Raw genomic sequence first — 25,672 nt, forward strand, 5'->3', positions numbered from 1 at the left:
TAGAGACTGGGAAGGGTAGAGAGATGGAGGAATAGGGAGAGATTTGTTAAAGGATATACCAAATTACAGCTAGATAGGGGGAATAAGTTCTAGTGTTCTATACCACTATGGGATGACTATAGTTGACAATAATATAGTTTCAAATAGCTAAAAGGAGGATATTGAATGTTCTCAACACAAAGAAATGATAAATGTTTGAGACGGATATGCTAATACCCTGATCTGATCACTATACATGATAGGTGTTGAAACATCACTATGTACCCCATCAATATGTACAGTTATTTGTCAATTTTTTTAATGCCAATTTTTTTTTTTTTTTTTGAGGTGGAGTTTCACTGTTGTTGCCCAGGCTGTAGTGCAGTGGTGCAATCTTGGCTCACTGCAACCTCGGCCTCCCAGGTTCAAGCTATCCTCCTGCCTTAGCCTTCCAAGTAGATGGGATTACAGGCACCCGCCACCATGCCCAGCTAATTTTTGTATTTTTATTCACCATATTGGCCAGGCTGGTCTTGAACTCCTGACTGAGGTGATCCACCCACCTTCCCGCCTTGGCCTCCCAAAGTGCTGAGATTACAGGCATGTGACACCGTGCCCGGCCAGTGCCAACGTGTTTAAACAAAGAAGTTGCTTTGAAAGAAATGTGTCTTTACAGCCACAAGGACCACAGAGCAGGGCAACAGCTCAAAAAAGACTCAGGAATACCTGTTTGCACAGCCCCTGCCTCCACCCTAGTGCTTTCAACCTGCAGAAACTGGAGAGGGATCTGGAATATTCTACCCATAAAAACTATTCTAAGAGGGAAAATTGAAGTAGCCACCACTCTAGGCCACCCAAAGTCCAGAAACAACTTGTAACTCACATTTCAAAACAATTCCCTTAAACCCAGTTTCCTTTTGTTTTCATTTTACAAATGTCACACAGTTTTTCATAACCAATTCTAATCATGTATGTTTCTAAGCAGATTTCAGTTTCTGTTGCTTCTCACAGCTTTTGAAGCTGTTTTCTACATATTCAAACTCTGAGGGGTATGATTTCTCTGCCTGGCTTAGAGCTCCACTATGACCCACCTTTTAGAATGAAGGATGAGAACCTTTTCGTGATGGGTTGACACTGTGGTTGTAGTTATCTCTAAAATAACCAGGACACCCACTCCTAAGCACACTGCCAAGGCTCACCGAAAACAGGCTTTACACACCTTTGAACCATTCCCAGAGCCTGGCCTGGGACCTTGTACACACATGGAAAGAACTTAATAATTTCTTGACATTTCTCCCTTGTGACTGTGCTAATTGGTCCCCCAGACACCCCATTCCACATATCAGCTAACCTGGCTTTTCCCACATGAGATTATGTGGAAAATCAGCATCCCACAAGACATTAACAGGCATTACTCTGAAGTCTGTAGCCAAAAAAGTTGGAAAACCAAGAGAGACAAAGCTTAAAGGGTTTATTTTCCACAGGACTTTGTAGAGCCTTCAGAATACTTTGTGCCCAGCAAATCTTTAGGAGGGGCCTAGGATGTGCTGGCTTTCCCAAATGTATTTGACCAAAGAATACTTTTTTTGGCAGAAATATTAACATCTTAAGATTGCACAGAACGTTTTAGAGACCATTAAGTTAACTGCCACTACAGGAAAGAACAAAAAATGCACACTCCACTTGCAAATCCTCCCTGCAATACAGAGCATTCAGGTGCTCTGCCTTACCAAGCGCCTCTGCTTCAAGGTGGAAGCAACTGCTTACTGAGTGCTTCAGTGGCCTTGCCCTGCTCTGGGAAATGACTCCATTTCAACCATCCCAGGCAACAATAGCCACAGTGTCAACACCTAGAACCAGTGAGGCCTATTAGAAGGTGGTTGTTTCTAACAACTTTTTACAAGACAGCAAAGTCAGGAACAAGAGAAGGCAGAAGGATACTCCAAATGGAATCCAAAGTTTGGTTTTGTTGACATGAGTGGCAGTGGAGAGACAACTGTGGGGTGAACACCCATGAGTTTGTAGGGCCTGCTGTCTTCAGAGCAGCCTCGAGACCCTCAGCCAGCCTCATGCTTCCACCCAGCAGGCAGAGGTTTTGGGCAAGTTAGACTTGAGAGTAATTGAGAGAGAAGCATTGTGAGAACAGATGTCCTGGGTGAGGTGCCCCCTGGGCAGCCATCTGCCTTCACCCTGGAGGAAACATGCTTCCAGCGGGGACTGCAAAGTAACACCCTGGTTGGCCCTTTCCCCACAACACCTGCCCTGTGCAGTTGGGGAAGCGGCTGTCACAGATGAATTCACAGATGAATCGGCAGAGTGCGCTGATACAAAGGTGGGCTCTGCTCTGAGTGTGGCCTGCACAGCCAGGGGACTTCCAAATGCTCCTTCTCTGTTCAGCTCCCTTTGTGTTCACGGTATAATGACACACACTTTCTCATTGGATTCTTTTCACTCACCAGCTTTTTGTCGATAAAGATACGATTGTTAATGCTGTCGGGGCATCGCACGACATCCACCTCCTGAAGATTGACAATCGAGAAGATGAGCTGGTGACCAGAATCAACTCTTGGTGTACACGTTTAATAGACAGGGTGAGTCAATCCCAAGCCATCCTAGCAGGCTGGATGAACTTTTCTAGCTGACATGGAAATCCTCCCTAGGTAGTGGATAGAATTTTCATTAAGGAATGAAATGAAGGAAGAAATAAAATTAAGGATTATAGAATTCCACACTGAAGACAACATTGCCCAGAGACTTTAAAACCCATGGGCTTCATCATTTTCCTAATTCCTACCTCAAATATACAGAGATCAGCAGAACCTGGGGAGGCGCTGAAGCAAATGAGGTTTGCAGATCTAAAGGAACTATTTTCCCCTTCCCTCAAACTGGATTCAGTGAAAGATATTAACCAATGATCTGATGTAAGGAATCGGGCTTTGGTTTCACTCCTCAGATTCACAAGGATGAGATCATGAGGAACCGCAAGCGCGTGAAGGAGATCAATCAGTACATCGACCACATGCAGAGCGAACTGGACAACCTGGAATGTGGCGACATCCTAGACTAGATGAATGTCAGCCACAGGAGCTTCTTCAAAACATAGCACCAGCCCCAGCCAGGAGAAGGAAGTGCACACGCCTCACCCGCACCTCTAGAGAGTTGCTGGGCATCTCTCAACCGCGATCCCCAACACCATTCTTCCCCCACCCCTGGAAAAACTTCCAAAAGTAGAGAAAATAAAGGACTCATTTCACATTTCCCCTACTCATAAAAAAAAAAAAAAAATCAGCTGGGTGCGGTGGTTCACGTCTGTAATCCCAGCACTTTGGGAGGCCGAGGCATGCAGATCACGAGGTCAGGAGTTCGAGACCAGCCTGACCAACATGGTGAAACCTTGTCTCTACTAAAAATACAAAAATTAGCCAGATGTGGTAGCGTGCACCTGTAATCCCAGCTACTCAGGAGGCTGAGGCAGGAGAATCACTTGAACCTGGGAGGCGGAGGTTGCAGTGAGCCAAGATCGCACCACTGCACTCCAGCCTGGGCGACAGAGCGAGACTTCGTCTCAAAAAAAAAAAAAAAAAAAAAAAAAAAAAAAAAAAAATGTTCATGTAGGAACAAGAGAAAGAGTTTGAGATGAACAGCCGGTCCCAGGCCAGCTGACAGAGCAACTCCCAAGGGCACTGCCATCAGCTAGATTCTTGGCTGTGGCATAAAGTCAGACACGTGCCCCTGCCGTTTCCCCTGCCATGCCTAGGCAGGCTGCCAGCCACAGGCAAAAGGAGGCCGGTGTGGGCTAAGACCTTCTCTGCTCTGGGTGCTGAGGGGCAGGGAAGCAGGAGGAGAGGCTGCAGCTCCCACCACAGTGCTGGGGCCTGGGCCTGCCCACCAAGGCTGAGGTTAGCCACAAGGACCTGAGGACCCTCCAGAAGAGCAGAGTGCAGGCAGGGCATCCCAGCTCCACCATGTCACCCCCGCAGCCCTGGTGTCATCTGTGACAGTACCTCACAGTGCCTTCGAGGAACAGTTCAGGGAGACAGTGCATGGGAAGCGTGGAGAGGCACCCAGCATGCGATCAGTGCCCTGTGAGCAGGGTTGATGCCATTACCTTACTCAGGCTGGCAAGGACACAGGGCTGAGAGAGCCTGTCTGCCTGAGAACCACTCTTCCCCCCTGCCCTCTTACTGGCCTGACACCAGAAAGTAGCGCCTGCCTCCTGGGACACTAGAGGTGGCTATGTCAGGAGGACCCTTAGGACTCCTGGGTGGGAGATGAGCGGAAACATGCACATCAGGTGACCTTGTCAAGCCTGTCCAGGCTTTTAGCCCAGAAACAACTTCTATTTTCTACTTTCTAGAGTAAATCATTTGTTTTAGAACAGTAGGAACAAATAGAAACAACCAGCTTAGACCACAATTGTTTCAAAAGATTGTTTGATTAAAAGCCAGCCAAAAAAAAGCCTTCAGGCTGAGGCTGAAGAACACAAATAGAGTTGTCTGTGGATTACATGATTGTTTCCCCAGTGCAAGGTTCCTGACCACAGGCAGCAGATATCCAAACACGCCATGGGAGATAAGCTGTTTAACCCTCTGGAACCTAGACAAAACAGGAAGAATGGAGAAGTGCAGAGGCATACGTGAAAACAGGGCTCAGCACATTTCCAGGGTGGAGAAATATTTAATAAAATCAGAGTCGAGAGAAAGTCACTTGCACAATTCATCTCCTACATTCACTGCTGGCCAGGCCAGGGGCACCTGGGTTGAAATCAGGCTGACCTCCGGACAGCCGTACTAGCGCACTGTGTCTCGGGGGGAATCTCAGGGTGACGCTGAGGCCGAGTCCCCAAAAGCCAAGGAAGCCAGCCCCACAGGCTGGGGAGCCCTGAAGGCCGGGGGAGCTGTGGCTGCACTGCCTCTATCCTGCTGAGTGTGCTCTGCCCAGGCCTCACTCCTTCAGGAGCTTGTGCTTGACTGTGGTGCTCTCGGAGCAGAGATGGATGAAGAGGGTGCCGGCGGCGGTGCGGGCCCGCAGCTCCTGCAGCTCATAGTCATGGGCCCACTCAATGTTGCCCCACTTCTGGATCTGAGGGAAGGACAAGACAAGTTGCTGGGTGAGTGGCCAGTGCCTGGCTGCCTCCTGACCAAAGCCACGTTCCATTCCAATAGGTTGGCTGAGGGCAACAGGTTTGTATCTTGCCAAAACACATGAGACATGCCTAGGGGGAGGTGGCAGGTAAGAACACCCAGGTACGCCAGACACGGTGGCTCACGCCTGTAATCCCAGCACTCTGGGAGACCGAGGCAGGAAGACTGCTTGAATCCAGGAGTTCAAGACCAGCCTGGGCAAATATGGTGCAACCTCGCCTCTACAAAAAGGTTTAAAAATTAGCTGGGTGTGGTGGGGGTGCACCTGTAGTCCCAGCTATTTGAGAGACTGAGGTAGGAGGACTGCTTTGAGCCCAGGAGGCTGAAGCTGCAGTAAGCCAAGATCACACCGCTGCACTCCCACTTGGGCAACAGAGCAAGACCCTGTCTCAAAAACACCACACACACACACACACACACACACACACACACACACACCCCACCACCCCACCCCCAGGGAGCCGGAGCAGGCACCTGTGCTCTCTGTGGCATGGATGGTCTGGAAGAAGTGCAGTCCAGGCCCAGGCCCAGGGCCAGTGGCTGCCCACCCACCACTGGGCAGGCTGGGTACCAGAACCACCCATGTGACTTCTTTGAGGAGGCCTTATGTGCCATCCCTTCTCCTACACTTCCTCCCAGAAAGCCTGTGAATGGACAGCCTCTCCAAGTTGCCTTGCCATGCTGGGCTACAAGTGCCCCCCAGCGCCATGTGGGTGGAATAACTAAATCAAGTAAGGCCACGCAGTGGCTTCAACTCTGACTCTTGTGGTAGTCACAGAACTACAGATGCCTCTGCTCTGCACACTGGGGACAAGTTGCAGATTCTCTGTCTGGAGCTCTAAAAACAAGAGGGAGGAACGCTCAGACACACGATGTGGCTGTCCAGACAGTGTAAGTCCAACCAAACCTTGCTGGCTCCTCCCTGGCTAGTTGCCCAAGAGGCCTGGCCTGGCCGCCCCAGCTCATCCAGGAACTCAGAATCCACCATGCTACACAAGCTATTTGAACTTCTGGGCTGCCTGGTCCCAAACTGTACAATTGTAATATGTCATCTGAAGAGTATTCCATACTTTCATTGTATACCATCACATACATAATTCAGGTTATTCCTCTGTTTGTAGAGGATCGAAACCAAAGTTCAGAGAATGATGGCCTGGCTTGGGTCCCATAGTCAGAAGCAGAGCCCAGACTGGCTTCCCACCAGCCCTACAAGTCACCCCCTTCCTATGTAATCAGTTCTGACATCCAGAGAATAGTAGCGGGCCTCCTTTGTTATACAAAAATAGTTTTTTCCCTGGCATTTTTCTGAGCAGAAGACTACAAGAACTAGGGAAATACATCACAAAAAGTTTTGTGTTTTTTTGTTTGTTTGTTTTTACCATATTAGGGACCAATTCATAATAGCAATTAACCTTCTGAGGTTGGTGGAATAACAATAAAAAGACTGCAAAGATGGCTATAATTTTCAGAGTTAAAAAATGCAAACCATACTGTGGCAAAACCTTAATTCTGAGCCCACTAAATCAAAACTTGTATACAAACAGCAGCTACCCCTATGCTCCTCTGCCAGCCAGATAAAATGTCAGGGTATGAAGGCTCAGCTGATGAAGGAGCACAAACGGGTTCTCAGTCATCTTGGCAGGGCCTGTTCTGCAGGCTTTATCAAGCCCAGATGGTCTTTATCCACCCGTGAACCTCCTTGTGCAGAGTGAGGCCTGACGGCCTTGGCCCTAAAATCACCAGACCTGGCTTCAAACCCCAGCTGGCACATTTTCCAGAGGTGCAACCTTGCACCTCCATTTCCTTCTGTGTAAAACAGAGATAACCACAGCTCCTACCTGCCCAGGCTGCTGAGAGGAGGTGAGATGGATACAATGCAGGAACACAGCGGTAGCACTTACTGTTATTTTTTTATTGTTATTATCTTACCTTTTTTTTTTTTTTTTTTGAGACAGGGTCTCACTCTGTCACCCAGGCTAGAATGCAGTGGCACAATCCTGGCTCACTACAACCTCCACCTCCCAGGTTCAAGCAATCCTCCCACGTCAGCTTCCCAAGTAGCTGAGACTACAGGTGCTAATTTTTGTATTTTTGTAGAGAGAGGGTTTTGCCATGTTGCCCAGGCTGGTCTCAAACTCCTGACCTCAAATGATCCATCCTCCTCAGCCACCCAAAGTGCTGGGATTACAGGTGTGAACCACCATGCCAGGCCTACTTGACAATACTTCTGCTGGTCCTTGATTTTGATTTCTGCGTGTACATAAAAGTAATAAAAGCCAAGTATGCATAACTATATTTCAGATGGGTTAGCTGCTCCCCCAAAGTGAGTCTGAACTAGGAAGGGGGAGGCGGGACCTGAGGTGCTGCTCCTCACCTGGTACTCCTCCTCCAGGCGTGACAGCAGCACGGCCTGCTCCACTGTCAGGCGCAGGTCAATCAGGCCCAAGGTTAGCACCATGGACTTGAGCTGGGCAGCTACAAACTCAATCCCTGCAGGGACACAAGCCAAGTCAGAACCCAAAACAGGGCAGCTGCCACAACCTACCCCTTGTGAGTCCCAGCAGCCCTAGCAGAGAACAGGAGTGAGTGGTGCAAAGAGCCATCCAGCGATTGTCCCACTCTTCTGAAAGAGCACTCTGGTCTTCCCTGGGGGTGATCCTCCTCTGCTCTTACCTAGTGAGACACATGACCCGAACTTGGCAAATCAGAGCTTTCCGCACCCAGTCTAGTGATTGGTTCATGGATGGACATGTGACCCAAGCCAGGGCAATGAGATTGAACTCAAGACTTCTGCTGGCGAAGTCGAAGGTGGAAAGGTGTGAGCCTAGAGCGTAGAGTGATTGGCTAGCATCAGAGCCACCCAGCCTCCACACTCAGCTAGCCCAGAACACTCTGTGCCTCTCCACTCACAGGACCTGGGGAGGGGCAAGTACAGGCTTCAGACACTGATGGCCTTCACAGCCACCTGCCAAGCCCACAAGAAACTCCATACATGCCTTGTAAAGCCCATGTGTTGTAAGATGCCAGGTGGCTGACGAGCACCTCCCGAGTTTTGGCAGGGATGCTGGGTCCCATTATGCTGGTGGAGGAGCTGATCTCCACGCCGTATCTGAAAGGAAAAGGGCTTCGGCATGTCTCTGTCATGCTGTAGCCCAAGAGCAGCCCACCTTTTGACTAGAAACAAAGGCCTAAGCTTCAGAGCATGTGTGTGCATTGGCCAAGGAGCTAGTCTTGACTACAGGAGCAACTGCCACCATGGTCAGTGGCCTCCCGACCTGATTTTCTGTCCCTCAAAAGCAAACTTGGAGGACCAAGAAACTGTGCTGAATGAAGGGATGGTTCCTGAGTCATGTGAGCTAGGGCTCGGTTATACGCAGCTGCCTGAAATGCTCATTCATTCACCTGGAATCTCCATCAAAAGGCCATCTGCCTTTTACATCTCTTTAAAGTTTTTCACATTTGAGGACATATAAAAGTTAAAAACAATATTTAAAATGGTTTTCCTTAAAATAATGTTTATGTCATATATCATGGAGGTTTTCTTTTTTATTGAGACAGGGTCTCGCTCTGTCACTCAAGCTGGAGTGCGCTGGCATGATCTTGACTCACTGCAGCCTTGACCTCCTAGGCTCAAGCGATCCTCCCACCTCAGTCTCCCAAGTAGCTGGGACTACAGGCATGTGCCACCACACCTAGCTAATTTTTTTTGTAGAGACAGAGTTTCACCATGTTGCTCGAGCTGGTCTCAAACGCCTGGACTCACGCGATCTGCCAACCTCAGCCTCCCAAAGTGTTGGGATTACAGCCATGAGCCACCATGACCAGTCAGCAGTCATTTTTTCAAACTTTTTTTTTTTTTTTTTTTTTTGAGATGAAGTCTTTCTTGCTTTCTACCCCAGGCTGAAGTGCAGTGGCATGATCTCGGCTCACTGCGACCTCCGCCTCCTGACCTCTGCGCCTGGCTGAGAAGATACATTTTCAAGAATAATCATAACTAAATAAAACAGAAAAACACAATGGGGGATAAAAATAATTTTTGTAATTTTCTTCCATATATCACTGATTTTTTTCTGTTGCTTAAAAAAATCCGGCTGGGGCCGGGCGCGGTGGCTCATGCCTGTAATCCCAGCACTTTGGGAGGCCGAGGCGGGCGGATCACGAGGTCAGGAGATTGAGACCATCCTGGCTAACACGGTGAGACGCCGTCTCTACTAAAAATACAAAAAAAATTAGCCGGGTGTAGATGGTGCATGCCTGTAGTCCCAGCTACTTGGGAGGCTGAGGCAGGAAAATGGCATAAAACCTGGGAGGCGGAGCTTGCAGTGAGCTGAGATCACGCCACTGCACTCCAGCCTGGGTGACAGAGCGAGACTCCTTTCAAAAAAAAAAAAAAAAAAATCCTGCTGGGTGCAGTGGCTCACACCTATAATCCCAGCACTTCAGGAGAATGAGGTGGGCAATCACTTGAGGTCAGGAGTTCGAGACCAGCCTGGCCAACATGGTGAAACCCCATCTCTACTAAAAACACAAAAATTAGCTGGGCGTGGTGGGCGCCTGTAATCCCAGCTACTTGAGAGGCTGAGGCACGAGAATCGTTTAAACCCAAGAGGTGGAGGTTACAGTGAGCCAAGATCGCATCACTGCACTCCAGCCTGGGCGACAGAGCGAGACTCCATCTCAAGAAAGAAAAAATAAAAAATCCTTGCTGAAATTCCTAATAGTACAAATGGACTGTAAGAAATGGCTAAGTTTTTCTATAAACTCTTAAGGATGAGGTATTTCCTGCCACAAGAATCTGATGATTTTATACTATAGCAAAGATCTCTAGGCACCTAAATTATTATTACATTTCATTAGATTCTGAAATGACACTGTTTTGTCACATTCCCACATAGTATTGTAGTCTGGTCTTTAGAGCACTGCCTTTGCCTTCTCTTTTAAGACCCAAGGACACCTGCCACATTGTGAGCATCGGGCAGCATGTGGCAAATCAGTGAACTGATTGGTAACATCACTTTTGTGGAAAACTGCTATACCAAGAAATGTGCCTTGCAAGCTTAGAAAATACCACAGTCAAGGTAGTACCATGAAAGCCAGCCCTTCCAAATTTCCCTTGGGATCAAATGAAATTGAATTTATTTTGCCACCACATCAATAATCCATTCAACTTTGCACTCAAGAGTCTTCCTATTAAAGAAAAATATTTCATATCAATTCCTGGAAGCTACATATCCATTGGATGTTACCCGTAATTTTGCAGGAAGCTATCCAGACTTTTCTCCAAGTGCATACATATCGTATATGTTGTTCTGTTATTTTATTTAATAGTACAGCAATTGTGACAAAGATTAAAATCACTGCCAAAATTTGAACATTTACTGTGTGCTAATAAGCAGGATGCTAAGCCTTTACATGCATCAATTCATTTATTCCTCCTCAAACCCTGAGAGGTAGGGATTATTAGCCCCATTTATAGACAAGAAAATTGAAGCTCAGAGAGATCAACTCATTAGCCAAGTCACACAGCTGAGTCTTCAGCAGAGCTGGGATTCAAACCGACACTGCTGCTCTGACCCGCTGGCAGAAGGTGGCCTGGGAACTCCACTGCTTCTCCAAGGACACAGAGCTGCCCCTACACTTCATGAACCGCTACAGCAGGTGTGCTGTACCTAGTGGCTGAAATTAAATTTGAGGTGCTTTTTTCCCAGGATGACCCTATCCCTGATCATATGAGGGGAGCCAAATCCCACGAGTGCTCTGAAATCAGAAAGCTGACTAGCTAAGGGCACTAGTTTTCCAGCGTGACCCCCTGACCCCTACACTCCACCAAACGCAGGTGCCCAGTCAGTGCTTTCTGCAGGGCTGTACATCTTACCTTTTCTCAGCCCATTCGATGATTGGATCCCACTCATTCCTTTGAAGTTCCACTAATGTCTCGGGCTCCTCCACCCTGTAGCTAATTCATTGTAAAAATAACCTTCATTAATAAAAAAGTACAATTCCTTCATTCAGTGATAGAAAAGGAAAAACACAAAGGACAACAGCAAAAACTTCACCACCACCATCCCAGCCCCACAAGTCTTTTCCCCTAAAGCAGTGGTTCTCAAAGTGTGGCCCTGGCACCAGCATCGCCTGGGAACTTGTTAGAAATACACATTCTCAGGTTGCATGCCTACAGAAATCAGAACCTCTGGAGGGGGGCCCAGCAATCTGTTTTAACAAGCCCTCTAGGGGATTCTAGTGTAAGCTTGAGTTTGAGAACCACTACCCTAAATGCCCCCAAATATTTGACAGGTCCAAGCTTGCCACACTGTTACTGCCATCCTAAAGCAGATCCAATCTACTAACTGCAACCCTGGGTCCACACCCGCTTGACCCAGATGCTGAATGGGAATGCTGTGCCAGATGCTCAGTCTTTGCATCTCTACCCTCACCCCCTCCAAGAGACTGTGCCCCTGGTCACAGACCAAATAGCCTGTTTATACCTCATAAGTCCACCCACCTCCTGGCTACAGATGCAGCTGCTGGCACAGATGCCAGACCTGATGGGACCAAGCTAGAGGTCAGGCTGTGCCATTTGTTTGACCAAGAGACACAGACATGAGCCAGTTGAGAGGAGCTGAGCTGCAGGGCCTCATGGGATGGGAATCCAAGTGGGCACTATGGAAATCCACTGTCTTGTGTAAGCAAAGTGGGGAAGAGAGGTCATGAGTTATGCAGGAAAAGCTGGGGTGCTGGGAGGGGCAGATGGACAACCAGCCTTTCCTCCCTCACCTTCCTCTCACCCTAGTAGGGCACAGGGAGGAGCTCTGACATTGGATCTTCCAGCTACCTTTCCTGGTGACCCAACTGTCCTTCATTTCCTGTCAGGATCCCTGTATAGTTTTCAAGAATCCCCTTTTTGTCTGAGCTAGGTTGAATGGGTTTCTGCTCCCTGCAATCAAGTGAACCCTAATATAAATGGAGTGGGCGTTCCCACTAGCTATGGGTCACCCCCTTCGAAAGCACGCCTCCAGCCATCAGTGCTGACTTCCTGTGTCATCGTGAGATGACTCAGGATCCTAGAGCACTTGGGCTAGCAGGCACGGTGCTGCTCAATCATTTCCATTGTTTCTCAACTTTCCTTTGGCATCACTGAACAATTAGCCAAGAAACATAGACACAGAGGAGAATTCAGAACTGGAGAAGGACACTCCTAGTTATCAGCATCCATAGTGCCAAGGATGCTTTACCTGAGAAAGTGTCGGTGGGCAGAAGTTTAAGGTCACAGGCCCCCCTAGGCCTAAGGGGCCTGTGGTCACGGCACCTGCAAGAGCTGCATAACCACCCTCCCAGCCTAAGGAGCAGCTTCTGGGCTAGAGAAGAGGGGTGGCCATGTTCTGACACCATTGTAGCCCGAGGAGTCCTCCTCCTAAGGGGCTACAGAGCAGCCAAGTGCCAAAGTCAAGTGGGCCACCTTCCTTGTCCTTGCAATAAATGGAGAGGGTTTCTTCTTCCACTGATAACCATCTGGGCAAATCAGGAAAAATAGCCTCAATCCAAGGGGAATGCCCATCTAAATGTCCATTACCAGATGGTGTCGGTGTCCAGAAACTTCACGGCTGCCCGGATCAGCTGATCCTTGTTTCTCTGGGTTGGGTTGTCCAATGATGTGTTGCACAATGTGGTCTGAATCAAAGGCAAAAACCACCCTGTCACTGCCTGCGGGGCTCAGGCAAAAGCCCTGCTTTCCTGAGGACACCACATCTGACACATAGCAGACAGCACCACAGCACAGCCCTCCACCAGAGGCGTCTGCATTACCGGAGCAGCAGCACAGCTACTGAGAGTGTGCCACAACCAGGCTCCATGCCAAATGCTTTGTGTTGACGCTCACAGGACTCGAGGGAAGCTTGCAGCAGCCCCAGGATTAGTGAACCTCCCCCATGGTCACATGCCTTTTATTACCAGGCTCTAGTGTATTTAATTTAATCCTCACAACAACCTTTTGGAGTAGGTACTATTATTATGTCCATCTGGGATGTGAAAACTGAGGCCCAGACAGGTTAAGTACATTGTCAAATACAGTTAATAAGACATGTATTAGTGATGGAGCTCAAATCTGACTGGAAACCTTTACCAGCTGCCTCCCTTACACCTTAGAAAGTAGGGAAATAGCCCATGCAAATCGGGATCAAGATTATTTTTTTCGGCCAAGTGTGGTGGCTCACGCCTGTAATCTCAGCACTTTGGGAGGCTGAGGTGGGCAGATCACCTGAGGTCAGGAGTTCAAGACCAGCCTGGCCAACATGGTAAAACCCCATCTCTACTAAAAATACAAAAATTAGCCTGGCATGGTGGTGGACGTCTGTAATCCCAGCTGCTTGGGAGGCTGAGACGGGAGAATCGCTTGAACCCAGGAGGCAGAGGTTGCAGTGAGCCGAGATTATGCCATTGCACTGCAGCCTGGGCAACAGAGTTAGACTGTTTAAAAAAAAAAAAAAGATCTTTTTTTTTCCAGACTTACCTTGTCAATAATAGGCTGCTTAGGTTACCCTATTCGTTTGTAGCCCTAATCACCCTAATTTCACTAGGTTGTCAAGGACCAGGCCAACCACCTCAGCAGGCTGTGATGTTGGGAGGAGGCCCACCTGGGTTTGCAAAGGTTGAGCACAGCAGCGGCTGGGATGATAGCAGCTGACTCCTGTATTGACTGAGTGCCCAGTCAGTGCTGGGGACCATGCCAAGGGCTTTCTTGCATCATCTCATCTCATCCTGACCACAGCTCCGTGAGGTGGGTACTATTATCACTCATCTTTAATCGGTGGGGAATATGGGGCTGCGAAAGGGGTAGCAACCTGCCCAAGGTTACAGTTTAGAAGCTGCAGAGGCTGGACCTAAGAGTGTAGCTGGGCCCTTCCTTCCCCAGGCAGCCTTGGTGCCTAGGCGAGCCACTTTGGTGTGGACGAGGGGGCTGGTTCTATAGGGAGTCTTCCTCACCTCACCCATCTGCCTCCAGTGGATCTTATATTCAACTAATATTTACTGAGTACCAACTAAATTACCTGCTAGTGGCTGTCCAGACACTGATGAGTAAAACAGACATGGCTCCTGCCCTTCTGTTGCTTACCAGGCAGTGGAAGAGACAGACAATAAATGTGCAAACATAAAACAATTATAAATTGCCTAAGTGCTGACAAAACAAATGGCCAGCTGCTGTCATAGAAAATAAGAGAGCTGGGCAGTCAATGAAGGTGACATCTGTCCTGAAACCAAAGGAGAAACCAGCCATCCAGCACAGTGTTCCTAGGAGAGAGAGCTGCAAGTAGCCGGGCCAGACAAGGAAAGAGTTTAGCACGTTAGTGACTTGAGAGGAGGTGAATCCCTGGGGGCCAGACAGGCAAAGGACCAGCCCCCAGGGCCTTGTCGGAATTTGGTAAAGGGTCTACCCTACGAAGCCCTGGGTGGGTCTCAGGGTCCAGGTTCACACTGTGAACTTGTTACCAGGTGCATGGTGTAGTACTTGATGGTATCCTGCTGGGAATCCCACTCAGTAGCCACTGCAATGGCCAGGGCCTCGCTGGGGACGGTAAAGAGCTTGGCTTGGGGAGTTTTCAGCTTCCTGTGGTCCAGGTTTATCTCAAAGCCACCTTGAAAGATCAAATGAAAAACTCTCAGGGATTTGTTAAGTGGAATCAAGTGACCATTCCTATATTTAGCCACTTGAATTGGTGCAGACAAAGCCAACTCTGAGTCCCTTACAGAAATATATCTCACAAAAAGCAGGAAGGATAATCGCACCATGAAACCAGCTGAAGATGAAAAATGTTCCCAACCATTCACAAAAAAAAAAAAAAAAAGAGGCAGTCAAAATTTCAGACACTCACCTTCACCCTGTGTGATGCTGACATTCTGATAAAACCTCTTCCTTTCTGTAAGAAAGATTTTTCAAAGAGGCAGTTTAAAATAACGTTGAGACAACTCAGGAAGCGACAGGACCAGCTTGTATCATTACTGCTAATGTTGATTGATTGGCTTGATTTTCATATCCCCATTCAAGGTCTGCCCTACTCAACACGGTATAATCAACCGCTTCTGATTAAAGCTGGGGGAAGGGAACATCTGATCTCCAGGGAGAAGGGAGGAACAGAACATGCTGGTCATACCTCTGCCAGCCCCGCAGCCTGGGGACAAGTCTGATCAGGAGCATCTCGGCATGCTCTCCCACCCTCCCCACCACCAGTGCCACCTCATGCCAGCACAACGAGTTCAAACCTAAAGTCGGTGTCTGAGTGGGACAAAGCTAGAGACCCATTTCAGGCAAGACTCTGATGCCTCTAAGGAGTGAGTGGAAAGCCAGTGTGCGTGCGCAGGGTGTGCGTGTGTGATACATCGGCAGGATACAGAGCTCCCAAGGGCATTTCCCATCCCCTCTCTCCAATTAATTAACCTAATTAACCAGCTTGCTTGTGTATCCAACAGGAACTCCAAACATTTCCTTCAAGAATGGGAAAATCTATGTCCTTTGTTTTCTTTTGAAAATAACTTGAATAAAATCTTACATGAAACAGTCTCCTTCTTTTACCCTGGAGGGATTAACAACCAAGAGCACTTCTAAGGAATTATGCAGATTCCCTCAACTGATAACAAAGAAGTCACATTTTGGAAGCTATAAGCTATAACTCAGTCTCTCACATCTGTGACAAACACAAAACTTTCATTCATTCATTCGTTTGTTCACTCGTTCATGTGTTCACTGAGTTCTCAAAGTCTTTGGAGACCCTAACTGAAGTTATTTATTGGAAATAATGATGCAGCATGTGGAAGAAAAAAGAGTAAATCATTTGCTTTATTTATTTATTTTATTATTATTTTTTTTTTGAAATGGCGTCTCACTCTCTTGCCCAGGCTGGAGTGTAGTGGTGCAATCTCAGCTCACTGAAACCTCCACCTCCTGGGTTCAAGCGACTCTCCTGCCTCAGTCCCCTGAGTAGCTGGGATTACAGGCATGCGCCAACACACCAGGCTAATTTTTGAATTTTTAGTAGAGGCAGAGTTTTGCCATGCCAGCCAGGTTGGTCTCGAACTCCTGACCTCAAGTGATCCAACCCGTGAGCCACCATGCCCGGCCAAATAGTTTGCCTTTAACGCTAAAAAAAAAAAAAAAAAAAAAAAAAGGCTGGTCGCAGTGGCTCATGCCTATAATCCTAGCACTTTGGGAGGCCAAGGTGGGAAGACTGCTTGAGGCCAGGAGTTCAAGACCCAAGCTGGGCAACATGAGACCCCATCTCTACAAAAAATACAAAAATGAGGCCGGGCGCAGTGGCTCACGCCTGTAATCCCAGCACTTTGGGAGGCGGAGGCGGGTGGATCACCTGAGGTCAGGAGTTCGAGACCAGCCTGGTCAATGTGGTGAAACCCCATCTCTACTAAAAATACAAAAATTAGCCAGGTGTGGTGGCACATGCCTGTAGTCCCAGCTACTCGGGAGGCTGAGGCAGGAGAATCGCTTGAACCCGGGAGGCAGAGGCTGCAGTGAGCTGAGATCACGCCACTGCACTCCAGCCTGGGTGGCAGAGCAAGACTCCATCTCAAAAAAAAAAAAAAAAAAAAAAAGAAAAATTAAAAATTAGCTAGGCATGGTGGCACATGCCTGTAGTCCCCAGCTACTAGGAAGGCTGAAGCAGGAAGATTGCTTGAGCCCAGGAGGCTGAGGCTTCAGGTGAGCTGTGATGGCACCACTGCACTCCAGCCTGGGCAACAGAACAAGACCCTGTCTCTTGGGGAAAAAAAAAAAAAAAAAAAAAACAAGCTTAAGTTAAAATTTCATTAATTCAAATAGACCATGAAAATTCAGGAGAAATTAGTATGTGTGCATGGACAGGGAAGGGTAATGGAGAAGTGGGCAACTGGTTTTACTCCAAATATTTTTTTTCTTTTTCTTTTTTTTTTTTTTTTGAGATGGAGTCTCACTCTGTTGCCCACGCTGGAGTGCAGTAGCGCGATCTCAGCTCACTGCAAGCTCCACCTCCCAGGTTCACGCCATTCTCCTGCCTCAGCCTCCTGAGTAGCTGCGACTACAGGCGCCGCCACCACGCCTGGCTTTTTTTTTTTTTTTTTTTTTTTTAGTAGAGACGGGGTTTCACCGTGTTAGCCAGGATGGTCTTGATCTCCTGACCTCGTGATCCACCTGCCTTGGCCTCCCAAAGTGCTGGGATTGCAGGCGTGAGCCACCGCGCCTGGCCTTTTTTTTTTTTTTTTTTGAGATGGAGTCTCACTTTGTCGCCCAGGCTGTAGTGCAGTGGCGCGATCTCGGTTCACTGCAAGTTCTGCCTCCTCGGTTCACACCATTCTCCTGCCTCAGCCTCCCGAGTACCTGGGACTACAGGTGCCTGCCACCACGCCTGGCTAATTTTTTGCATTTTGTTTAGTAGAGGCGGGGTTTCACCATGTTAGCCAGGATGGTCTCGATCTCCTGACCTCGTGATCCGCCCACCTCAGCCTCCCAAAGTGCTGGGATTACAGGCGTGAGCCACTGCGCCCAGCCTACTCCAAATATTTTTATGTTTTCCCATCATATCAGTTTTCTATAAATCTCATTTGCTATCACTAATACTTACAGACAGAGGGCCCAAAATTGCATTCCACATTTGCACTTACTAAACTAAGGCCCAAATTGTTTTCCCACAAAAATATGTGTGTGTCTACCATGTGTCTTGGCACTTGGGATACAAGAGTGAATAAAATAGACAGAGTTTAAAGTGTTTTTTTAGGCCAGGCGCGGTGGTCACGCCTGTAATCCCAGCACTTTGGGGGGCTGAGGCGGGCGGATCACGAGGTCAGGAGATTGAGACCATCCTGGCTAACACAGTGAAACCCCATCTCTACTAAAAATACAAAAAATTAGCCGGGCGTGGTGGCGGGCGCCTGTAGTCCCAGCTACTTGGGAGGCTGAGGCAGGAGAATGGCGTGAACCCGGGAGGTGGAGCTTGCAGTGAGCTGAGATCGCACCACTGCACTCCAGCCTGGGTGACAAAGCAAGACTCCATCTCAAAAAAAAGAAAATAAAGTGTTTTTTTAGGATCAGATCTGTCCACCAAGATGATGTTGTCTTACTATGGCACCTTCATCTGAAATCACAACACTGATTATCTCATACGTTTGACACTAAAATTAGAAGTTTACAGCACCCTACTGCTTTTAAATTTCTCTACATGCTGTCCTGGTCATATCCAAATGGCAGGCTAGACATGGGTCTGGAGGCCTCCTTTCCTCTCTCAGGTCTGGAGTGAGGTAGACCATGTCCTTTGTGTTTTCCAATGCAACAGGCTGGGCTGCATGTATAAAAGCCAGGCCAGGCAGGAAGTTGGGAAGGGCTCTGAAAGCTCTGACTCAACACTGGGGAAAGGGTCTTCCCATGTCAGCAGGAAGAGCCAGCAGAGTGTACAAATGTACAAGAGTGAGCACTCTAGCATACTTCCAGGCCCGGTCTGGGAAGTGAACCCAAGAGACCTGGGGCAGACGAACAGACTCAAGGCAGGAACTGCCAGCACAGGGCTGAACCTTCAAAAGCTCCTGGGACAGCCAGGTTTCCCAAGAGGGAAGTCTTTTTTCTGTTTTGTTGGCCAGGCTCACTTCTGTAACTGAATAAGAAAAAACTAGATGGGAGTGGGATAGATGGAGGGCAGGGAAGAAGCCACCAAAAATTTCTCCAAGCAGAAGAAAACCATGCAGAAAATGAGACGGCAGAAGGGCAAAAGAAGCCCAGGGGCCGCCAGGCCTCAGATTAGAAGGCAGGTGCACATAGATGTGTTTTAGCCAGGGGCTCTCCTGAATGACCCACTGACACTTGGAGGGGCAAACGTGTCTTGGAACAAGCTTTGGTGAGTACTGATCATGTTCCAGGACATACAAGTCCTGGGGATGGGACATGTGCAAAGCTCATCTCTGCACTCTCCAGCCATTTACTGTCTAGTAGGAATACAGACACTAAACCAGGCAAACAATAAGGTGACTTCTGTGATGGGGCAGGCACGTGGAACGATTAGTCAGAATTAAATTGCAACTTGAAGGTGAGGCAGGAGGTACCAAACTTTCTGATTGATTCAATTTTTTTTTTTTTTTTTTGGCAGAGCAGGGCTGTGGAAGTAGTTTCCAGATGAAGAAACAGGTTGCATGAAGGACCAGGGTTTCTAGAGAGCAGTTGTGGACTAGACAGATGGTCAGAAGGAGAATGCAAGATTCTCTAAGATGCTAGAGAGGGCAATGGGGCCACATATGGGGGACATGTAGATCACTGCAAAGACAGCAAAGGGAGCCAAGTAAAGGCTCCACACAGGCATACAGGAACTTGATCTGGGGCCGGGCATGGTGGCTCATGCCTGTAATCCCAGAACTTTGTGAGGCCGAGGGGGACAGATCACTTAAAGCCAGGAGCTCAAGAGCAGCCTGGCCAACATGGTGAAACCCTGTCTCTACAAAAAATTAAAAAATTGGCGAGGTGTGGTATTGCCTGCCTGTAATACCAGCTACTCAGGAGGCTGAAAATCAGTTGAACCCAGGAGGCGGAGGTTGTAGTGAACCAAGATTGCGCCACTGCACCCCAACCAGGGTGACAGAATGAGACTCTGTCTCAAAAAAAAAAAAAAAAAAGAACATGATCTGGACAATTCGTTTGGGGGATCCATGTTCCCCAACAATGTCACATAAGACAAAATGTGAGACCACCAGAAACCTATGAAGCTTCCATGTTCTCGGTGAATACATGGTTAGCAGACATCAATGGTAACCCTGTCTTTAAAGATGAAAAAAATCAGCCTAGCTTTGTAGGATCATGCAGAACTGGCCTTTCCTTTAGAAAGATTACCAGCCTCAGGAACCACAACTCCCACAGTGCACCAAGAAGAGGAAGTACTGGTTTCAGAGCTGTCTCAGTGCCTTTATCTTTTAAAACAGTGCCATCTGGTGGGCCTTAAACCTTAAAGGTGAAATTCTAACTCCAGGGCCATCTGTAATCCTAGGGCGGCTCTAACCAACTCTTTTCAGGTATCAAAATTCTTCAGCCCAAATACATAAAGAACTCTTACGACTCAATAACAAAAAGACAAATAGGCTGGGCATGGTGGCTCGAGCTTGTAATCCCAGCACTTTGGCTGGCTGAGGCAGGTGGATCACTTGAGTCCAAGAGTTCAAGACCAGCCTGAGCAACATGGCAACACCCTGTCTCTACAAAAATACAAAAATTAGCCAGGCATGGTGGCACGTGCCTGTAGTCCCAGCTACTCAGGAGGCTGACATGGGAGGATCACCTGAGCCTGGGAGGTTGAGGCTGCAGTGAGCCATGAACACACCCCTGCACTCTAGCCTAGGCAACAGACCGAGGCCCTGTCTCAAAAACAACAACAAATAACCCAATTTAAAAATGTTCAAGTCTGAGAGACCGAGGTGGGAAGATTGCTTGAGTCCAGGAGTTTGAGACCAGCCTGGGCAACATAGCAAGACCCTGTCTGTACAAAAAAATTTTAAAGTCAGCTGGGCATGGTGGCACACACCTGTAGTTCCCAGCTACTTTGGAGGCTGAGGTGTGAGGCTCGCTTGAGCCCAGGAGGTTGAGGCTGCAGTAAGCTGTAACTGAGCCACTTGCACTACAACCTGGGTGACAGAGCAAGACCCCCTCTCTTTAAAAAAAAACAATGGTCAAGGGATCTGAATAGACGTTTCTTCAAAGAAAATATACAAATAGCCATTAAGCACGTGAAAAGATACTCAACATAATTCATCAGAGAAATGCAAATCAAAACCACAATGAGATACCACTTCAAACCCTTTAGGACAGCTGTAATAAAAAAGACAACAACAAGTGTTGAGATATAGAGAAACTGGACCCCTCAAACACTGCTGGTGGAAATGTGAAATGGCACAGCCACCTTGAAAAACAGTCTGGCAGATCCTCCAAAAGTTAAACAGAGTTACCATTTGACCCAGTAATTCTACTCTTAGGTATATGTCCAAGAGAAATGAAAACATATGTCCACACAAAAACTTGTACATGAATGTTCATAGTAGCGTTATTCATATTAGCCAAAAGGTAGAAACGACCCTGTGTCCACCAATGGATGAATGGATAAGTAAAATGTGGCATATTTACACATACAATGGAATATTGTTTGGCAATAAAGAAGAATGGAGTCATTGATACATGATACAAGGTGGATAAAACTTAAAAACGTTTGGTCATGGTGGCTCACTCCTGTAATCCCAGCACTCTGGAAGGCCGAAGCAGGAGGATCACTTGAGGCCAGGAGTTTGAGGTCAGCCTGAGCAAGACCCCATCTCTACAAAGCACTAAAAAGCTAGCCGGGCATGGTGGTGTGTGCCTGTAGCCCTAGCTACTTGGGAGGCTGAGGCAGGAGGATCACTTGAGCCCAGGAGTTTGAGGTTACAGTGAGCTGTGATCGTGCCACTACACTCCAGCCTGGGCAACAGAATGAGACCCAATCTCTTAAAAACAAAAAAAAACAAAAAAAACCCAAACTTTAAAACATTATGCTAAGTGAAAAAGTCAGTCAAAAAAGACCACATTCTATTTATATAAAATGTCCCAAACAGGGAAATCTATAAAAGAACAAAGGAAAGTAGTAGTTGCCAAGGGATGGAAGTAGTAAGGGTGGATGATAGCTAAAGGGTGCAGGTTTCTTTTAAGGGTGATAAAAATGTTCTAAAATTGATTGTGGCAATGGCTGTACAATTCTGTAAATATACTAAAAACTATTATATTTACACTTCAAGTAAATGAATTGTATAGCAAGTAAATATCTCAATAAAGCTGTTAAAAAAATCCTTCAGGCCAAATGTATAACATTTAGCAAACTTTTTCTGCAAAGAATCAGATAGTAAATATTCTAAGCTTTGCAAGCCATACAATATCTGTTCCAACTATTCAACTCTGCCACTGTAGTGAAAGTAGCCATAGATGATATGTAAATGAATGCATGTGGCTGTGTTCCAATAAAACTCTATTTACAAAAACAGGTGGCAGGCTGGACCCTGATCTACAGACTACATAATCTCCCTCAATCCACACCACTATTCTATGAGGATGACAAGGCAGCTAATGCCTCGGAGGTGATAGAGAAGCTAAACATCTTGTCTTGGTGACAGACAACTGGTAAATAGCAGAGACAAGACTTCTAGCCTTGACTTCATCAGGCAGTTGCATTCAGCCAGATACGCTGAATAGATAGGTTTCTCCAGAACACCTGCCACTCTGGGAGTCAATAGACCTCTGATAAGCTGGTGCAGAACTAAACTGCCACAACAACCTCATATAGGTCTTCTTGTTGCAATATCTCCTTCTCCAACACCTCAGTGACCCTTTCGTAAACTCCTCCTCTCCTTCTGATAACCTTCAATGGCATGGCCATTCCTAAGTGGCCAAGTTCAATCAGCTTGCTGACTGAAGTGTTCATTGAGAAGAACCCACTGCGGTTTAATCTTCTACTACTTCAAATACGCACAAATATCTCACAACTGGTAAGGTCTTTAGAGAGAACACGTGGGGGTCGGGGGCCGGGCGCGGTGGCTCATGCCTGTAATCCCAGCACTCTGGAAGGCTGAGGAGGGTGGATCATGAGGTCAGGAGATCGAGACCATCCAGACTAACATGGTGAAACTCCGTCTCTACTGACAATACAAAAAAATTAGCCAGGTGTGGTGGTGGGCACCTGTAGTCCCAGCTACTCGGGACGCTGAGGCAGGAGAATGGCGTGAACCCGGGAGGCGGAGCTTACAGTGAGCCAAGATTGCGCCACTGCACTCCAGCCTGGGTGACAGTGCAAGACTCTGTCTCAAAAAAAAAAAAAAGCATGCATGGGCCTGATTTATGCACCTCCCTTCTCATTCATTCATTCCTATTTTCTTTCACATTTGACTACCTACCATGTGCCAGGTACTTCCAAGAGCCTAACTAGTAAGTTTAGGCTTTTTAAAAAGGAAAAGAAGGCAGTAGATCAAGTGCCACCATTATGTAAAGTGAGCATCCACAAATCTAAATTAACCCTTTGTGGTCAGGCATGGTGGCTCACGCCTGTAATCCCAGCATTTGGGAGGCTGAGGCGGGAGGATCACCTGAGGTCAGGAGTTCATGACCAGTGTGGCCAACATGGTGAAACCCCATCTCTACTAAAAATACAAAATTAGCCACGTGTGGTGGCGGACACCTGTAATCCCAGCTACTTGGGAGGCTGAGGCAGGAGAATTGCTTGAATCTGGGAGGTAGAGGTTGCAGTGAGCCAAGATCACACCATTGCATGCCAGCCTGGGTGACAAGTGTAAAACTCCATCTCAAAATAAATAAATAAATACGTAAATAAATAAATTAATTAACCCTTTGCTTTTTGCCAACTTGGTGAACTCCTGAATGTGTCCCCTTTGCTATGCCTCCCTGGGATGCCCTTCCTTTCTCTTCTTTACTGGCCCTTCATGGCCCATTTCCAGGCCCTTCCCCTGAGTCCTGCAGGTGAAACTTCAGCTCCCTGCTGCATCCAGCCCCCTTCCCCATTTCTATAAAGTTATAGAACTTGGCTGGGCGCGGTGGCTCACGCCTGTAATCCCAGCACTTTGGGAGGCCGAGGTGGGCGGGTCACAAAGTCAGGAGTTCGAGACCAGCCTAGTCAATATAAACCCCATCTCTACTAAAAATACAAAAATTAGCAGGGCATGGTGGCAGACGCCTGTAGTCCCACCTACTTGGGAGGCTGAGACCACAAAATCGCTTGAATCTGGGAGGCGGAGGTTGCAGTGAGCCGAGATGGTGCCACTGCACTCCAGCCTCTGTGACAGAGGAGACTCCGTCTCAAAAAAACACAAAAAAACAGAAGAAGAAGAAAAAAAAAGAACTTGACAGCCAGAAAGATCCTCAAAGGCAACCTAGTACTTCAACGCATGGAGAAAAATGAGGAAGTAGTTGCATGCCCAAGATCACACAGACCTCAGAGGTTCAGCCAGCATCAGATCCTAGATTTGCACTCCTGCCACAATGCCAAACTGCCTGTGAAGTTCTGGATTTTCTAAAACAGGCAGTGTCAGGGAAAAGTCCCTCATACCTTGCTGTCACCCTGGACACGTTCTAGATACCCAACACTCTCCCACCTTTTTGCTGAACTCCTACTCATCTATCATGGCTCAGCTTAAACAAACGCCCTTTCACCCAAGACCCATTCTAAACCCTGAACATCCCCAAGATGGGAGTAAGCGATTCTCTGTGTTCTCACAGTTTCTTTGTATGTCCCTTATCAGGATATTATAAACCACAATTTAATCAGAATATTATAACCTTTTGCAATGAACAGTGAACATCATTCAGGTGGGCCTTTTTCTTCTTTAATTGAGCTTCTCTACCAATACATACAGGTGGGTCTTAAAGACAACCGTGCCTCCTGCCTCCAGCACAATAAAACTAATTGAATGGTGGGAGGGTGTTACTGCTCTTCATTCACTGAAATGAGTCATTCTCACTCTTACCCTGACACCACTCACCATCAGCAATGAAAGAGCCACTACTTCTAAGCTTCATCAGAGTTGGAGGTGGAGGTGACTCCACAGTCAGAGGTGGAGGTGTCAATTTCTATTTAGGAGAGAAGGCTGCAGATGGCAGAGGTTGTGGTAGGAGGGAAAGTCAGGAAACCTGCAGCAGAAGTGCCCGGGATGGAGGAATGAAGGCCCAGGTTCTAGGTCCCTTCTGGGCAGGTCTTGTGTTGGGCAGTGGAGACACGGAAAACAGTCAGACAGACACCACAAACCTCTGAGAGAGTCTGCCTGTAACCCAGACGAAGTCCTGATTCAGAGCCCAAACTTCCCCTTTTGAAAACAAAGATGACACCTGCTTTCCTTATTAAAGGGAGGGCAGCCATAAGCTTTGAGAAAACCTGCACAGGCCAAATATCAATTACTGTATCGTGCGTGACTCGCTGTTCCCTCTCGGGTCGTCTGCCCTTGTCTGGGCTTCACTTTCTCATCTGTAAAAAGACCTGACTGGCCTGCATAACCTCATGAGCCTGAACCCTGCCTCAGTTACTTCGCTTTGCACAGCCGAAGCCCGAAGCCCACCTTACCCCAGCTCGGCCCCAACCCAAAAGAACATGTCATGGTCTTACCTGTCGGCGGGGCGTAAGCCCGGGCTGGAGACGGGATGGTTGGCCCCGGACTCATAGAAGCGCTGGGGCCACCCGCCGGCCGATTCAGGAGACGGCGTCCCCCGTCCCGCAGCCGGAGGCAGCTCCTCCACATCGCGCCCGAGGGTCTGGGAAGATGCGAGACGCGAAACCTGGAGCAGGAAACACAGAGCGATGGGATCCCCAAAGCCGCACGGTCGGGCTGTACGGAAACCTCTCAACGCCTCCTCAGAGCCCTCAACCTCCCTTGGACGCCGCCATCTTCCGCATGACACCTACGGCGCGCCGTCGCCGCCGCGCGCCTCCTGCGCACACCCCCAGTCAATCAGCATCACAAACGCACCTCGCCCCGCCCCCTCCACGCCGCGCCTCGGCGAGGAGACTACAAGTCCCAGCGGG

General features: G+C 47.9%; 2 protein-coding genes across 16 annotated transcripts in view, besides 5 other annotated features; one reads left to right on the forward strand and one right to left on the reverse strand.

The window, feature by feature from the left end:
• DRC3 (dynein regulatory complex subunit 3) overlaps positions 1–3,264 on the forward strand; it is a 44,077-nt gene extending 40,813 nt beyond the window's left edge. For 9 of the 10 annotated variants that reach the window (XM_024450964.2, NM_001130090.1, XM_011524018.3 and 6 more), the window contains 2 exons: positions 2,439–2,570; positions 2,933–3,264. In XM_024450964.2, coding sequence (XP_024306732.1) covers positions 2,439–2,570; positions 2,933–3,046 — 246 coding nt within the window. In that variant the 3' untranslated portion in view covers positions 3,047–3,264. Of the gene's footprint in view, positions 1–2,438; positions 2,571–2,932 lie in introns of those variants that run through there. The other variant, XM_011524023.3, reaches the window with a different exon arrangement.
• On the reverse strand, positions 1,434–25,543 carry ATPAF2 (ATP synthase mitochondrial F1 complex assembly factor 2). Of its 6 annotated transcripts, none has more exons than XM_011524065.2 (8): positions 25,256–25,543; positions 14,990–15,034; positions 14,607–14,752; positions 12,694–12,791; positions 10,999–11,079; positions 8,120–8,232; positions 7,498–7,613; positions 1,434–2,635 (listed from the first exon to the last, which is right to left on the reverse strand). In XM_011524065.2, the coding sequence occupies exons 1-8, from the start codon at positions 25,386–25,388 to the stop codon at positions 2,576–2,578; spliced, it is 792 nt and encodes a 263-aa protein (XP_011522367.1). In that variant the 5' UTR covers positions 25,389–25,543; the 3' UTR covers positions 1,434–2,575. The 6 variants fall into 6 exon arrangements, 5 of the variants coding, with proteins under 5 accessions (XP_011522367.1, XP_016880792.1, NP_663729.1 ...); NM_145691.4 differs by lacking the exon at positions 1,434–2,635 and adding an exon at positions 4,396–5,061; XM_005256848.5 differs by lacking the exon at positions 1,434–2,635 and adding an exon at positions 7,015–7,373.
• Positions 3,530–3,824: a silencer, noted in NCBI's record as "tiled region #6800; K562 Repressive non-DNase unmatched - State 7:EnhWF". NCBI's record gives its function as "represses a minimal TATA promoter and a strong SV40 promoter by Sharpr-MPRA in K562 cells {active_cell/tissue: K562}" and the evidence as "EXISTENCE:reporter gene assay evidence [ECO:0000049][PMID:27701403]".
• Positions 8,752–8,915: a silencer, noted in NCBI's record as "fragment chr17:17925691-17925854 (GRCh37/hg19 assembly coordinates)". NCBI's record gives its function as "represses an EF-1alpha promoter that drives an FKBP-Casp9 reporter gene in an ReSE screen in K562 erythroleukemia cells {active_cell/tissue: K562}" and the evidence as "EXISTENCE:reporter gene assay evidence [ECO:0000049][PMID:32094911]".
• Positions 25,202–25,271: an enhancer, noted in NCBI's record as "active region_11820". NCBI's record gives its function as "activates an Ori minimal core promoter by ATAC-STARR-seq in GM12878 lymphoblastoid cells {active_cell/tissue: GM12878}" and the evidence as "EXISTENCE:reporter gene assay evidence [ECO:0000049][PMID:35858748]".
• Positions 25,282–25,331: an enhancer, noted in NCBI's record as "active region_11821". NCBI's record gives its function as "activates an Ori minimal core promoter by ATAC-STARR-seq in GM12878 lymphoblastoid cells {active_cell/tissue: GM12878}" and the evidence as "EXISTENCE:reporter gene assay evidence [ECO:0000049][PMID:35858748]".
• Positions 25,472–25,581: an enhancer, noted in NCBI's record as "active region_11822". NCBI's record gives its function as "activates an Ori minimal core promoter by ATAC-STARR-seq in GM12878 lymphoblastoid cells {active_cell/tissue: GM12878}" and the evidence as "EXISTENCE:reporter gene assay evidence [ECO:0000049][PMID:35858748]".

This window comes from Homo sapiens, chromosome 17, assembly GCF_000001405.40.
Source record: "Homo sapiens chromosome 17, GRCh38.p14 Primary Assembly".
NCBI lineage: Eukaryota > Metazoa > Chordata > Mammalia > Primates > Hominidae > Homo > Homo sapiens.